Below are 15,818 nucleotides of genomic sequence, written 5' to 3'. Positions count from 1 at the left end.
GGGTTAGGGTTAGGGGTTAGGGTTAGGGTTAGGGTTAGGGTTAGGAGTTAGGGGTTAGGAGTTAGGTTTAGGTTTAGGGGCTAGGGTTAGGTTTGGGTTAGGGTTGGGTTAGGGGCTAGGGTTAGGGTTAGGGTTGGGTTATGGTTAGGGTTGGGTTAGGGTTAGGGTTTGGGTTAGGATTAGGGTTAGGGGTTAGGGTTAGGGTTAGGATTAGGGGTGAGAGTTAGGGTTACGGTACTGTAAATAATTTCACATTATTACTAATAATAAATTATTATTTGTATTACACTGTTACGTAATGTAAACGCTATTAAGACATGTTTTTCTTCAAAGAATGGCCTTGGTTTCTGTGGGCTGTGCCTCGTCATGGAAGGGTAATGCATTCCTGCTAAATCATGGACAAAACGGGCTTCCAGGAGCTACAGGCCCCTGCAGCAGCAGCTTCTCCTCTACGTCCTTCACTGCCTCAAACTGTTGTTGACTTTGAAAGCTTCTTTCAGTCTAGTTTTATCAACAGAGCTAGTATTTCATGAGGTTCTACTACATACCAGGTTCCAGAAAGCTAAATGCCTTTTGTTATTATTCACTAAATACAAATCACAACTCTCTCCTCATTACTCACACAACAAAATTTAGCTGAGGGAGATTGAGTGACTTTCCCAGGGTCACATAGCTACTAAGAGCAGAGTCGTGTTTAGATTCATGTGGGAATATTGAACACAGAAATGAACCAGTGGAAACATCCTATGTTCCAAAAGCCTACTCAAGGCATTTCTTCTTATTTTAAGGAAAATCTTTATGCTAATTTTAAACTCCAAATACTTATGAATGGCAGAGATCTACAGATTTGATTCTGATGTAAGAAATGATGGTCACCAGCTGGTTACTGCTACCACCCCACAACCCCGAGCATACTGGACGAATGTCTAAGCCTTGTGGTTAGTGGGGACAATGCTGGTGGAGTCTGAAGTTGTCATGCAGTGACTCATGCAAGCTTAGGCAGATTTGGTAATATATGACACAGAGATGCAAAGAAATGTTGTAGCTGACACACACAGGCTGGCTCTGGGAGATGCAGAAGGAGCACGTCACCCAAAATAGAGCCAGACAAGACATCCTTAAGGAAGGAGCAAAAGGGCTGCATCTTAAAGAATGTAGAAAGGATTTGTCATGAGAGATGGGGCAGGAAGTTCTTGAGAGGCAGAGGGAGAGCATGAGAATGTTAGGAAGGGAGGAGAGATTCTCACACATCTGGGAAGCTGACAATCCATCAGCATGGCCAGAAGGAAAATAAGGAGGAGGAGCAGAAATAGATGAGGCTGGATATAGAAGCAGGGCTGAAGCTGTGTCGATTGTGGTAAAGAGTTGTGATTCTATCCAGAACGCAATAGGTAGCATTCTAAACAGAGATCTTTTCAAACAAGAGTCAGCAAGTATTTTCTGCAGGAGGCTAAATGTTAAATATTTTAAGTTTTCCAAGCCATATGGTCTCTCTCTCAATGACTCAGCTCTTCCATTATACCATGAAAGTAGCCAGAGACATTATGTAACACATGTATTGGCTGTGTCCTATTACAACTTTACTTACAAACGCAGACTGTGTCAGACATGGTCCATGCATGGTAGTTTGCCACACCCTGTTTTAGAAAGCTCAGGTTTATGATGTGATGGAGAATGCCTACAAGAGCTCTTGTTTTAAATGGTAGAGTGAACATACACTGGAATTCTATCCTGCTTGACCCAAGCTCTTGATAGCAAAAGGTAGAAAAGATAGATGGTAAATAGATAGATAGATGATAGATAAAGAAAATACATAGCTGTTCCAGAAAACAGAAATGGATAACTTCATGAACCAAAAGCAGAGTAATATACTTTAGAAAGGAAGCGGGCCAGAAAACCCACAGTTGCAAAACAAATAGAATTTCCAACTGCCTCTTGTAGCCCCTTCCTGGAAGTAGTCACAGCCCAGGGTGTTTGACTTCTTCCTCTGTTTTTTGTTTGTTTGTTGTTTGCTTTTCTGTGGGGTTTTTGTTGTTGTTGTTTGCTTTTAAAAAAAAATTCCCTTTCCCTGCTTTTTTGTCACAGCAGCCTTTGTCACTTCAAACACCGCAAGTGTTCTTTAAAAAAAATTATATCAACCTTTCAATTAAAATGCAACATGTCTGAAACTTGGTATCTGGAGAGGTGAGTTGGACAAAGGAGCCCTTGTTACTGCACGTTTTCATTCTTCAAATTTCACCTTGCACACAGTAACAGACAGTGCACAAAGCCACTTCCTTATGGACGGAAATTCTGAAATCCTTTTATGCCTGGCCTTTCCATCCTTCAACTTCCCCTCTCCCACGCTGTGAATGATTGTATTGGACATTTTTGTTTTAATGTCAGTGACAGGGGAACACAGGTAGCTCTAATATAGCTGTGACCCAGATGCTTCTGTTTCTAGCATGTATTTATTTTGCAGCAAACATTTACATCCATGATGTTTCACTGTCTTTTGAAAATAATTAGGCAATATCTCATCTGAGGTAGGTTGTTTCTAGGGATTGTGTTCTGAGGGAGGAAAACTAATCTGTTCTCTTTCCACTGCATTCTAGGAACAGTAAGAGGACCTTGTGCATGAATAATTTGTTTCCACACTACAGAGTGGGTAATAAGCAGATTAGTAAAAACAATTCTGCTTCACTTCAATAACAGCTTCCTCCAACTCATTTTTTCTCAACAAACTTATTTTTCCAGCAGAAGAATCCCAGACTTCTTAGAGAACCCAGTGACTTTTTGTACCTTAAATCTGTGAAATCCTCCTGTTTTCTTCTGCCGTATCCATAGTTCAAACAAAGATGAGGCAAAGCTAGATGCATTCCTGAAGGAACCCAAGAAATTCCTCTCTTTCTTTCTCTGGAATGAAATGAATTCTCTAAACCACCAGTTCTAACCTTCAAAAACCAAACCTGTTTGTGAGATCTCCTTCAAATACTACTGTAGACCCCAGTTTTTATTCATTAAATTTTTTAAATATTTGTTTTATTTGGAATCCATGCATTTGTAATTTTAGTGTTTGTATTAATATCAGGGAGAAATGTTTAAATCTGTCTATGCCATATGTGCCTCTGGCTTATTGCCCAGTTAATTGTAGTCTCAGGCTAAACTTTGGTTTCTATCTTTAATTTTTGTCAGAAGAAATATAACTGATCTCAAAACATCTGCTTTTATTGTAGGGGCTCGTGCTGCCATCTCCATTCCTCTCTCTTTTCTTGCAATCTGGGTGGAAGTTCTTTAATATGAACATTTCAACCACCTTCATTCTACCATGTCCACTATCAGCACATTGAAACTGATCCAGGCAAGGCTGTCATCTTAGGCCAGGGATTTTTTAGGAATCTATTTTGCTGTGATGCGGCTGGCACCCCTTTGACTCACTGTATCACCCCAGGGTTCTTTTCATTTCAGAAGCCAAAGAGGGCAGAAAAAGAAGTAGGTGAGCAATTAAACACTCTGAGTCAGGAGCGTCTCCCCTTGCGTTAAGCAATGTTGTAGAACATCAATGTTGTACATCGATGTTGGCGACCTTGGTACCATTTTGTCCACTTGATTGGAAAAGCCAGTCAATAATTTCAGGTCACTGTTGGCCTTAGAAGAAGAGCCCAAAGGCAACAAGCAAAGGCGCTGGTGTCCAGTCGCCTTCTAGAAACATTTTCATTTTCCCTTAAGGTTTCCCTTGATGAACATAGAAGTACTGTATGTAGAATTGACCCAGTGCTGCCCTGGCAACTTTGTATATTAGGCCAGATTTACATTTCTTACCTTTATGAGAGGCACCCTGGTAGGCTAGTGGAGTTACACACAAAGTCTGATCTCAGCTGCACTGTCCAGAAATGCAACACGGTCCAATCAAATAACATTCTCTGAGCCTGTTTCTTTAGCTGTGAAAGAAGAATAACATACCCATCTAAAAAGGCAGCTTATTGTATTTGATTGGTCTTTTATTTTCTATGAAACTGTGTTTAACACAGTAATTATTTTCATTTGTGTACTACATTTGTGTTGTGTTTTTGGTTTTAGTTTTGTTTTTGAAATGGAGTCTTTTTTTTTGTGGTTTTTTGTTTTGTTTTCTTTTGTTTTGTTTTTGAGATGGAGTCTTTCTATTGTCACCCAGGCTAGAGTGCAGTGGCGTGATCTCCGCTCACTGCAACCTCCACCTCCCAGGTTCAAGTGGTTCTCCTGCCTCAGCCTCCTGAGAAGCTGGGATTACAGGTGCCCACCACCATGCCCAGCTAATTTTTAAAATATATTTTTAGTAGAGATGGGGTTACAACATGTTGCCCAGGCTGGTCTCAAACTACTGACATCAAGTGATCCACCCGCCTTGGCTTCCCAAAGTGCTGGGATTATAGGCATGAGCCACCGCGCCTGGCTTGTTTTAAAATAAGGGTTTCTTGGCTAGGCATGGTGGCTCACACCTGTAATCCCAGCACTTTGGGAGGCCAAGGTCAGTGGATCACCTGAGGTCAGGAGTTCGAGACCAGCCTGGCCATCATGGCAAAACCCCATCTCTACTAAAAATACAAAAATTAGCCAGGTGTGGTGGCACACGCCTGTAGTGGTGGTGCATGCCTATAGTCCCAGCTACTCAAGAGGCTGAGGCAGGAGAATCACTTGAACTGGGAGATGGAGGTTGCAGTGAGCTGAGATCGCACCAGTGCACTCCAGCCTGGGCAACAGAGTGAGACTCCATCTTATAAAAGGAAAAAAGAAAGAAAAGAAAAATTCCATATCTGAGTGTTTACTCCTGAGTTTTTGAGATTGTTATTAAGATCGTGCTCTACTGTGATGATTTGGGTTTGTTTGATAATCAGAAAAAAAGCATATTCTTTTAGGTGTTCAGCCACACTGCTTTGGTGTCACAACTGCACATTGGTTTCACAGCTGCAGGACAAGTTCGAGCATCTTAAAATGATTCAACAGGAGGAGATAAGGAAGCTCGAGGAAGAGAAAAAACAACTGGAAGGAGAAATCATAGATTTTTATAAAATGAAAGCTGCCTCTGAAGCACTGCAGACTCAGCTGAGCACCGATACAAAGAAAGACAAACATCGTAAGAAGCAATAGTTTCTCTTACTATTCTGAGAGCCTTATCATTCTACATCCCATCTTCCTGTGAGTTTGTCTTTGTAGCATTTAACTCTAATTGCAGTTCTCATTTTAAAAACTGGCTTGCTTATTGTATATTTTCCCCAACTAAAGCGTGAACTCCTAGCAGGGCGTGGTGGCTCATGCCTGTAATCTCAGCACTGTGGGAGGCCGAGGTGGGTCGACTACCTGAGGTTAGGAGTTCGAGACCAGCCTGACCAACATGATGAAACGCTGTCTCTACTAAAAATACAAAAATTAGCTAGGCGTGGTGGCTGGGACCTGTAATCCCAGCTACTTGGGAGGCTGAGGCAGGAGAATCACTTGTACCCTGGAGGTGGAGGTTGCAGTGAGCAGAGATCTCACCATTACACTCCAGCCTGGGTGACAAGAGCAAAACTGCATCTCAAAAAAAAAAAAAAAAGGGGGTGAACTTGAAGGCAGGTCCTGTGTCCATCTTTTCAGATTCTGTATCCCAGCACTTAGGACATAGACAAACACGAAGATGACAATCAATATTTGCCAAAATGAAAAAACAAAAGAAACATGTAACATCATGTAAAAGAAGCTGGTTAGGTGGAGAAATTTATTTACCATAGTCTTGCTTGTGGATCCAGTAGTGACTTTTACAGTTTATATCTAAATAGAAGCTGGAGGCTTTGTTGGGGACTCATAGGCATAAAATATTATTTATTATAGAGTTAAATGCTACAAAGACAAATCTAATTAATAGGCCTATTTTCCTTTTTAAATTCTACTCATAATTTCTTCATAGTTTTTATGATAAAAGGTTGGATTTTGATTAGAACTCCCATGATTTTGTGTCAGAATTAAAACTGGTATTAGAATAAATAATTCAAAAGCTAGAGAAAGAGTACAAAGAGAAGCCATGAGTTGCATTTGAATTATAATATTATGTCTTACAGATTTGGGGTATATGCTAAAGTTACCAAAGTTGTAGAAAATAAGGCCGGGCATTGTGGCTCACATCTGTAATTCCAGCACTTTGGGAGGCCGAGGTGGGCGGATCATTTGAGGTCAGGAGTTTGAGACCAGCCTGGCCAACATGGTGAAACTCCGTCTGTACTAATAGTACAAAAATTAGCGAGGCGTGATGGTGTGCACCTGTAGTCCTTGCTACTCAGAAAGCTGAGGCAGGAGAATCGCTTGTACCCAGGAGGCAGAGGTTGCAGTGAGCAGAGATTGTGCCACTGCACTCCAGCCTGGGTGACAGAGTGCTATGAGTCACCACACCTGGTATGAGCCACCGTGCCTGGCCCACAATGACTTTTACACATGTTGTTAAATCATCTTACAGATTTTATAATTTGGGGGAAGAAAAGTTTTACTAAATTGTCTTTTAATGGAAACTCTACAAGAACCAGAATCTTTGCTTTGTTCACTTATGTATCCATTCCTAGGCCTAGAAAAATGTCTGACACATAGCAGCAATTATTCATTGAATAAATGGACCCAGCGATAGTACATTAGCTATGCTATATGCATACATTAAAGATGTAGATTATCGACTTTCAAAAGATAATTAATGTAACTTCTTACTGCTTCTGAACATGTTTGTGAGTTATATTGCTGAGGGACCTTTATCTTCTCATTCTTTCATCTTAACGCAGTGTTATAAAATTGAAATCACCAATATTATTCCATATCTAAAATTAATATCTACCTTGTAAAAAATATCACTCTGCTGCATTTGAGAATAGACTTTTTAGGTAATAATGATGCAATCCATAGGGTTTTTTGGGGGCACAGAGGGATTCATGCTAACAGAACATTTTATTTTCTATTTTCCCAGAGCTGTAAAACATGAAATTACGGTAGTATAAGGCATATTTTTACTCTTTTTATAATTTTTTCTAAAAAAAATTAGTGTTTGTTCCCTATATAACTTTTAACTTTATAGGTAAATATTTGTTTCTTTCAGCTCCAGTTTTATGTGAAATAGAGTTTTCAGATTTATGTAGCATGGAAAGTTTTAATACGTCAGAGTTACTGATTTTTGCCAATCATTTTCTCAATTATTTCTTTTTTATCTTTAGTTGATTTTTTTGTAGTGACACATTTTGTTTCTAGTCTCATTTCCTTTTGTTTATATTCTATGTATATTTCATTTTTGGTTACTATGAGAATTACATATAACATCCTAGAGTTATAACATTTTAATTTGAATTTATTTCAACTTAAGTTCAATCACATACCAAAATTCTACTGCTATATATATAGCTCTACTCTTTTTATGTTATTGATGTGACAAATTATATCTTTATTCATTGTATACCAGCTAACAGATTTACAATTACATTTTATGCATTTGCCTTTTAAATTATGTAGAAAATAAAAAGCAGAGTTACAAACCAAAATTACAATAGGACTGTTTTTATGTTTGTTTATGTATTTACCTTTACCAGAGAGCTTTGTATATTCATACAGCTTGCTTATTTACTTATATAGTTATTGCCTAGAGTTCATTTATTTCAACCTGAAGGACTTAACACTTCCTGAATGGCAAATTCAGGGATAAATGGATTTTTTTCAGTTTTAAAAAAAAATCCGGAAATGTCTTAATTTCTCCTTCATTTTTGAAGGATAAGTTTTCCAGCTATATATTTCTCAATTGACAGGTTTCTTCATTATTTTAAATATATAATCCACTGCCTACTGGCCTTCAAGGTTTCTGCCGAGAAATCAGCTGCTAATGTTATCTGGATCCCTATCTGTGAGAGTTGCTCTTCTCTCTGAGTTTTCAACATTCTCCCATTATCTTTTTTTTGTTTGTTTTTGAGACAAATAATTGTACATATTCATGGGATACAGAGTGATATTTTGATACATGTATACAATGCCCAATGATCAAATAAGGATAATTAGCATATCCATCACCTCAAATATTTGTCATTTATTTGTATTGTGAACAGTCAACATTCTTTCTTCTAGTTTTTTAAATTTATAAACATTTAAATTTTATTACAGAAATTTAAATTTTTTGATTCTGAAAAAGTCATATATGTATGCAACATTTTTTATCATTTATTTATATATTTATGCATCTTTCCTTTTAGTTTTGACAGAGATTTTCTATTTTATCGTTATTTCAAAAGAACTCTTACCTGTATTTATTTATCAATTATATTTTCCTTGTTTTTTCCTAGTATATTAATTTATTTACTTATCTTCTAAAAATCCTCCATATAATCTGTTTATTTTGTTTCCTTTCTATAATTTCTTCAATAATTAGTTGTGTTCTATTTTCCATTAAAATATTTAAATCTTGTATGAATTTTTGTCAGATTAGAAATTTAGGGCGTTTCTTAATTTCTCTATACTCTAGCTTTTGACTTTTTTTTTCTGACCTAAGAGGTATTTAGAGCACATTTTAGATTTTTTATTTTGACTAATCATTTAAAATGTATACTAATCATCAATTTAAATAAAAAACTGGTCTATAGTGACAAAAATTACAAATGAGCCTAACTAATAAATTATCAGCTGTGTTTATATGTATAAGCATGCACAGATTTTGGTAAATATGTACATAATATATTGGTGAGCTTATTTTTATCATTCTTAACTCATTGTGTAGTCTAAACGTTGGGGAAAAAATAAAATACAATAATCAGATGGTGTGAATAAGAAAATTGTTCTAATGTTTGTAAACCAAGCAACTGTTTTAACTGCTCCCCTCTTCCTGATTGACTTCTAAAAGGGATTGATCCATATTGGGTCCTATCATATACGTCACGGTATAACATCTCCAGCTATAAAATGGAAATTTGAGAATAACTTTGCTGCTACTCAGATACATTTTATTTCAAAAACATACACTAAGGTGTTGCTGTTGGATCTTTCCAAAAACATATTCACACAGAACTTTCAATCACACTGAGCCATATTTGAACAATCTTTCAAGGTCAGCTCTGGCATAAGCTAACATTATACCATTTAACTCAGAAATTTCTTTAGTATTTGATTAATGGGTTTATGTTTGATATGTAATGTAATTTTCTAATACTAAATCAAGTGGTAATTTTGTTAGTCAAGTTGATTTAGTGGCTTGGGAAGAAAGCTTTTAATGTTCCCCTAATTTTTCTTACCTTTGACATGATCCTTCACATGTCTTATTTTGCTTAGTGATTTTTCTTTTTTTTTTTTTTTTGAGACAGGGTCTTACTCTACCACCCAGGCTTGAGTGCAGTGGTGCAATCACAGCTCATTGCAGCCTTGACCTCCCAGACTCAAGCTATTCTTCCACCTCAGCCTCCCAAGTAGCTGGTACTACAGGCACATGCCACCAAACTTGGCTAATTTTTGTATTTTTTGTAGAGACAGAGTTTTGCCAAATTCTCAGGCTGGTCTGGAATTTCTGGGCTCAAGTAATCCTGCCTTGGCCTCCCAACATGCTGATATTACAGACATAAGCCACAGTACCTGGCCAGTTTTCTTTTTAAAAAAATCTATTGGTTATTAATTTGAAGCCTTCCTTTTCATAGCTGTGCTCCTTAATTGGGAGCAAACATGAATGTACCACAACTTAGCCAATTTTCTATATACGATCTTTGCCGTCCTAATTTAAAGGAATATTAATTCTTTCTTTTCTTCTTTCATTCCACAAACCTGTATTGACTACATCTAAGTTCTAAATGGTGCACTGGATGTTGAAAAAGTTGATGATGAGCAAGAACAAAATTCCTGCTTTCAGGAGACTTACAGTTCAATATGGGAAATATAATTTGTTAAAATATAAAAGTGCAATTGTGTTACATGCTGTACGAAGTACATGTTGACATGTGAGCATATAATAAATGGGCTGGAGGCCAGAGGATTGCCAAAGAGAATGGGCTTCCTGCTGAGATGAAAAGTTGAGCAGGGATTAGTTGGCGAAAGTGGAGGGACGATCCTTTCTAGGCAGGAGGAAGAACATGTACAGAATCTCTGAGGTGTGATGCGACAAAGTCTATATAAAAAACTGAAGAAAGGTCTAATGTGGCTTAAATACAGAAGCTAGTAGGAGAGGAGTCAAAAAGAGGCTGGAGAAGTAGAAAGTGTCTGCATTCTGCAGGAACTTATATTGTATAAAATATATTGTATATTGTATAAAAAGAATTTCTCTTTATTCTAAGTGCAATGTGAAGCCAATGAAGTGCTTTAAACAGGTGATGTGATTTGATTGAATTTATTACTTCACTTAACAAATATTCATTACATGCCCACTGTTTGTCAGATATTGCTGTAGCCCCTGGTGATACAGTAGGGAATAAAACAGGCAAAAATCCCTGTCCTCTTGCAGCTTATAATGGACTGCAATGTTTAATATGTCAGAGGAGGTCCATGGAGGAGTGACTTCTAAGCAAGAATCTGAAAAAAATGAGGATATCTAAGGAGGGAACAAATGGTTCAAAAGCCCTATAATTGCAAGCAGGCATGATGAAGCAATTGCAGTTGTCCTGACTCTCAACACCGTGGAACTCAAAGGAGATGGAAAGATTCCTTCTATCCCTCATATATTTTCTCTCTTTCTGTCTATATATATAGAATATGAGACATTTCCCTAACCATTATGTGTAATTACAATTACATATATATATGTAATTGTAATTACACATAATGATTAGGGAAATGTCTCATATTCTTCTACTCAGAAATAAGCAATATAGCAATTACTGTTTTTTACATTTTACAGTTACAGTTTCAGAGAAAGTTTGATATTTATCTAAAATTTTTCAATGTATGAACTTTTTCATTTGACAAACCATAATTGTACATATTCTTGGGATACAGAGTGATATTTTCTTTACATGTATAGAATGTGTAGTGATCAAATCAGGGTAATTTCCACTAATTTAAAATGCCACCTTTATGTTATTGTAATTTATATATATGCTGTATATATACACACACACACATATATATACATGTCCACATACACTGTGTGTGTGCACATGTACACACATGCATATGTGTATATAATGCCCAGTATAAGCAATGTGCACAAATAAAATTAGCTAACAGAGATAGTATAGAGTGAGAGGAGAGGCAGATTAATCTTTGAGGAAAAGCACAATTTTATAGCTGAATGGAGAAAGCTGAGGTGGTTTCTAAGATGGAGAATAAGACGAAAAATGTAAGTACGTTGTTTGACTGAATTCAAGAAAGAAGGGTAAAAGAGAAGAAAGTAGTGGTCTTATCATTAAATGCCACAGAGAGGTAAAGATAAAGACAACATATTGTTTTGGGTTTAGTAATTTAAGGGTTACCAAATTCCGTTTTGGAGGAGGAACAGATTCCATGTCCACTAGAATGGAATGAACAAGAAATGGAGGAGGAAAATAGGTAGTTTTTCAAAAGTTTTCAAAAATATGAAAAGAAGAAATGAAATGGTACTTGGAAGAGATTGTTGAAATGGGAGAGACTATGGTGGCTTGTTTAGAAGCAGTTGAGATAGATCCAATTGAGATAGAGATATTGACTATATAAACAAAAGAATGACAAATTAATAGTGTAATGGATAACTTGACTTTGGCAAATATTGTGAATTTTGTGAAAGTACAACTAAAAGGCAATGTCACTCCAATAATCACCAGAGTAATCAATTTGCTTATTGCTGTCCCTTTAAATATAGTTCTCTGGTATCAACTAACATGTTTTTAACTAATGATGCTTCTTAAAGAAAAGGGAAAAGACCTTTTTCTTTCTTTCAGTCTTCAATGATTCACTGCTTCATCTCGCTCCACCAAAGATAAATGAAATCTACATCTCTTATACATTAACAATGCATGACAATTTATAAATAGCTAAATTTTTGGAGCTAACTTTAAGTACCTGAATGGAATTTAATCAACCCACTAATCTCCTTCTCACTTCTCAGTTATTTATCAAGTTTATGTCAAGGGACAAGGAAAAATTATCCAAACATTGTTTAAAACAATCATCATTAATTAGTAACACTTATCCAGGGGGGTTTTTAACCTTTCCCCCACTCAAGGATTATTCTAATGTCAGAGTAGAATAAAAAATAAGTGCAGCGATGCTGACTCTTCCAAGCTTAACATTTCTCACAAGTCAATTAGCTTTGTACTGGGAGGAGGGCTTGAAGGGCTGCTTGCAGTAGTTGTGTAGCAGCAGCACAATGGCCGCAGACAAGGAAAACAGTTTCTAGGAATTCCTCGTATATAATTTTATATTTTTGACAAGATTAATGACCCATGCTCCCTTCCTCTCCATTTCTTTTTTTGGAATTCTGTTGGTATGTAGTTACTATATTTTATTAAAGGAAATTAGCCTTATCTCTTATTATATTTTATTAAAGAAAATTATTATATTATTCCTTTATATTTTTATTAAAGGATTTTATTATTATTAAAGCAAATTAGCCTTATCTCTTATTATATTTTTTATGACCTTCAAAGTAGTGTCTCTGCTTAAAAGTGTACCCTGGCCGGGCGTGGTGGCTCACACCTGTAATTCCAGCACTTTGGGAGGCCGAGGCGGGTGGATCACGAGGTCAGGAGATCGAGACCATCCTGGCTAACACGGTGAAACCCCGTCTGTACTAAAAATACAAAAAATTAGCAGGGCATAGTGGCGGGCGCCTGTAGTCCCAGCTACTCAGGAGGCTCAGGCAGGAGAATGGCGTGAACCAGGGAGACGGAGCTTGCGGTGAGCTGAGATCGCACCGCTGCACTCCAGCCTGGGCGACAGAGCAAGACTCCGTCTCAAAAAAAAAAAAAAAAGTGTACCCTGAAGCACACATCAAGCGACATGTAGAGTTCATAAATTCTGGCCAAATGGTCATACCTCAAACCTCATCAGCAGTAAGGCTCTTTACTTGCACTGACAAATATGAACGCTGGGGAATTTGGAAATGATATATAATATATAATATTATATATATAATAGATATATAATATATAATATATATAATACATATATAATATTATATATGTAATAGATATACAATATATAATATATAATAGATATATAATATATATAATAGATATATAATATATAACTTTCCATGTGATTTTCCTCTTAATTTTTTTCTAGCTGATCCATATGAATTCCTCTTGTTAAGAAAAATAAAGCATCCAGGATTCAATGAAGAACTGACTATCACCTTGTTAATCATTCAGAAACATGTTGCAGGCTTAAGCCATTTTTGATATAGATACTGAAACAATTACTTGCTAAGAGCAAACTTGAAGGTATGGATAAGGCCCTGAGTCATCTTCCTGAGCTGAATGATATTTAAGCTGAATGTACGTATAAAATATGATTTTCTAACCACTTGCTCGCCAACAAGGAAAACTTTTAAGTAGAGCAGAACCTGAATAGACAAGACATTTCTTTCTTTTGGTAGAAAATGATTTACCATCACTGTCTAGTTAATTGTAGACTAGGTAATTTTAACTTTGTGATTCATTGCCGGAGACATTTTCTTCTGTACTGTAAAGTGTGTGTCAAAAAAAAAATAGCGATTTTGGAGGATTAGGGGACTTTGATAAATTGCCTGCAATTCTGGCAGTATGAACTGCATATTAATTTCTCTCTTTCAAGAACATTTTTATTTATTAATTCCTTACAAAAACTCCCTAAACTTTGGAACAGCTCTCAATTGCCTGTATTCTTTTTTTTCTTATTATGGTACTCTTCTAGAGATTTGGCTTGCATCTGTGAATAAGCCAGGACATCTTCAGAAATTGTCTGATTAAAAACACCACCAATGGAGTTTCATTAAATTTGTATTGCTCTGACTAGTGAAACACACACATCTATGTTGCTGAGGATATTTTACTGCAGTTCAAGTTGTAATAATAGCTCTGTTTAAGATCCGTCAGTCACTTGAATCTTCTCTAAGGCTTTGTATGTTAGAAGTTAATTTGCTTTCTTACAAGGCCACATTCTATCTTGTAACTAAACAACTGAATTTTATGTCTTAGCGTAGATGGTTTACTACTTTCTGGTTTTTATTTAGTAAGAATCCTATAAAAACACTAGTATTTTTCTCTGAGTTTAAAATTCAATACATGCCTACTGATATGGTTAGGCTTTGTATCCCCACCTGAATCTCATCTTGAATTGTAATCCCCATAGCCCCCATAATCCCCACAGGTCAAGGGAGAGACCAGGTGGAGGTAATTGAATCATGGGGGCAGTTTCCCCTGTGCTGTTCTTGTGATAGTGAGTTCTCACGAGATTTGATGGTTTTATAAGGGATTCTTTCCCCTTTGCTCGGCACTTCTTCATGCTGCCTTGCGAAGAAGCTGGCTTGCTTCCTCTTTGTCTTCCGCCATGATTGTAGATTTCCTGAGGCCTCCCAAGCTGTGCTGAACTGTGAGCCAATTAAACTTCTTTCCTTTATAAATTACCCAGTCTTGGGCAGTTCTTTATAGCAGTATGAAAACAGAAAAATACACCTACTATGTAAAACTTAAAATACAAAAAAACAAAACATTATCTCACTAACATAGGAGCTAATATTTTGGTGTACTTTGTTTAGTATTTTATATTAAAAATATGTACATATATATTTATATATAATTAAGAACATGTATGTACAATCGTGCATACATCATGTACATACATCTACTTAAGAAAATAGCTATGTAATATACCATTACTCAACTAGATTATAATTTTTTCTCCATTTCTTTATTGTAATTTATCATTTTCTACTTTTTTGTTTTCTCATTTTTATTGCATAATATTTAATTATGCAAAAAATACATTAAATACATTGAAAATATATAGTGTAGCTATAAGAATAAAGAACGATGGTAAAACAAATGCTAATACCCACTACCTGACTTAAAGAATATGATATTATTTTTTTCCAATTGAAATTCCCTCAACTACTCAGAATTACTGCTATCCCTCTTATCCTTTCATTAATTTTCTTCTAGTTTTCTCACATGTGAATCTATTTCTAAACACATTTCTTTATTTTGCAAGTTTTTGGACTTCATATAAATGTAACCATATTGTATATATTCTTCTTCAGCTTCTTAGTTTTTCACTAAACAATATGTTTTGCTGATACTTACATTCATATGTACAGTAATAGTTGATTTATTTTAATGGCTATATATTATTCCATTGTTAGAATACACCAGGATTTATTTTTACTTATTTTTTTTGCTGGAAAATTGGGTGTCTTTTTTATTTTTTGATATAACAAACAATGTTGTAATCATTTTGTATTTACTTCCTAGTCCACTCCTGTAAGTTTCTCTTGAGTACATACTAGCAATGAATATGCTGAGTCACTGCATATACATACTTACAACTTTATTCTATAATGTAATATTCTATAAAGTAGCTGTATCAGTTTATACTTTAACCAGTAATGGACAAGATTTTCTGTTACTTCCCATCTTTGTTAATTATTACTTTTAGACTCTAACTTTTATCAGGCTCATGGATGTAAAAAGCATCTCAGGGTGGTTTTAATTTGCATTTATCTGCTCATCTATGAAGATGAGCTTCTTTTCATATAATTATGAGTCATTATTTTTCTTTTGCCTTCTTTCGTTTATGCATTTTGCTTGTTCTATGTCTTATTTTTCCTGTTGATTTTTGGGAGTTCATATATATTCTAAATGTATATTTATTCACTCATATATATGTTGTAAATATTACAGTTTATGATTTGTCACCTTATGATATCATCCAAATAGAGA

The 15,818-nt window shown here is 35.8% G+C and overlaps 1 long non-coding RNA gene and 1 pseudogene across 1 annotated transcript; both read left to right on the top strand.

Moving 5' to 3' along the window:
• Positions 1–203: 203 nt before the first annotated feature.
• On the top strand, positions 204–3,031 carry LOC124902051 (uncharacterized). Its single transcript, XR_007061161.1, has 2 exons — positions 204–2,643; positions 2,737–3,031. It is a non-coding gene; the product is annotated as an uncharacterized LOC124902051 (long non-coding RNA).
• Positions 4,922–5,299, top strand: SEPTIN14P8 (septin 14 pseudogene 8; annotated as a pseudogene).
• Positions 5,300–15,818: the final 10,519 nt, after the last annotated feature.

The sequence above is a fragment of the Homo sapiens genome, chromosome 8, assembly GCF_000001405.40.
Source record: "Homo sapiens chromosome 8, GRCh38.p14 Primary Assembly".
NCBI classification, from domain to species: domain Eukaryota; kingdom Metazoa; phylum Chordata; class Mammalia; order Primates; family Hominidae; genus Homo; species Homo sapiens.
This window is presented reverse-complemented; position numbering and strand designations above follow the sequence as displayed.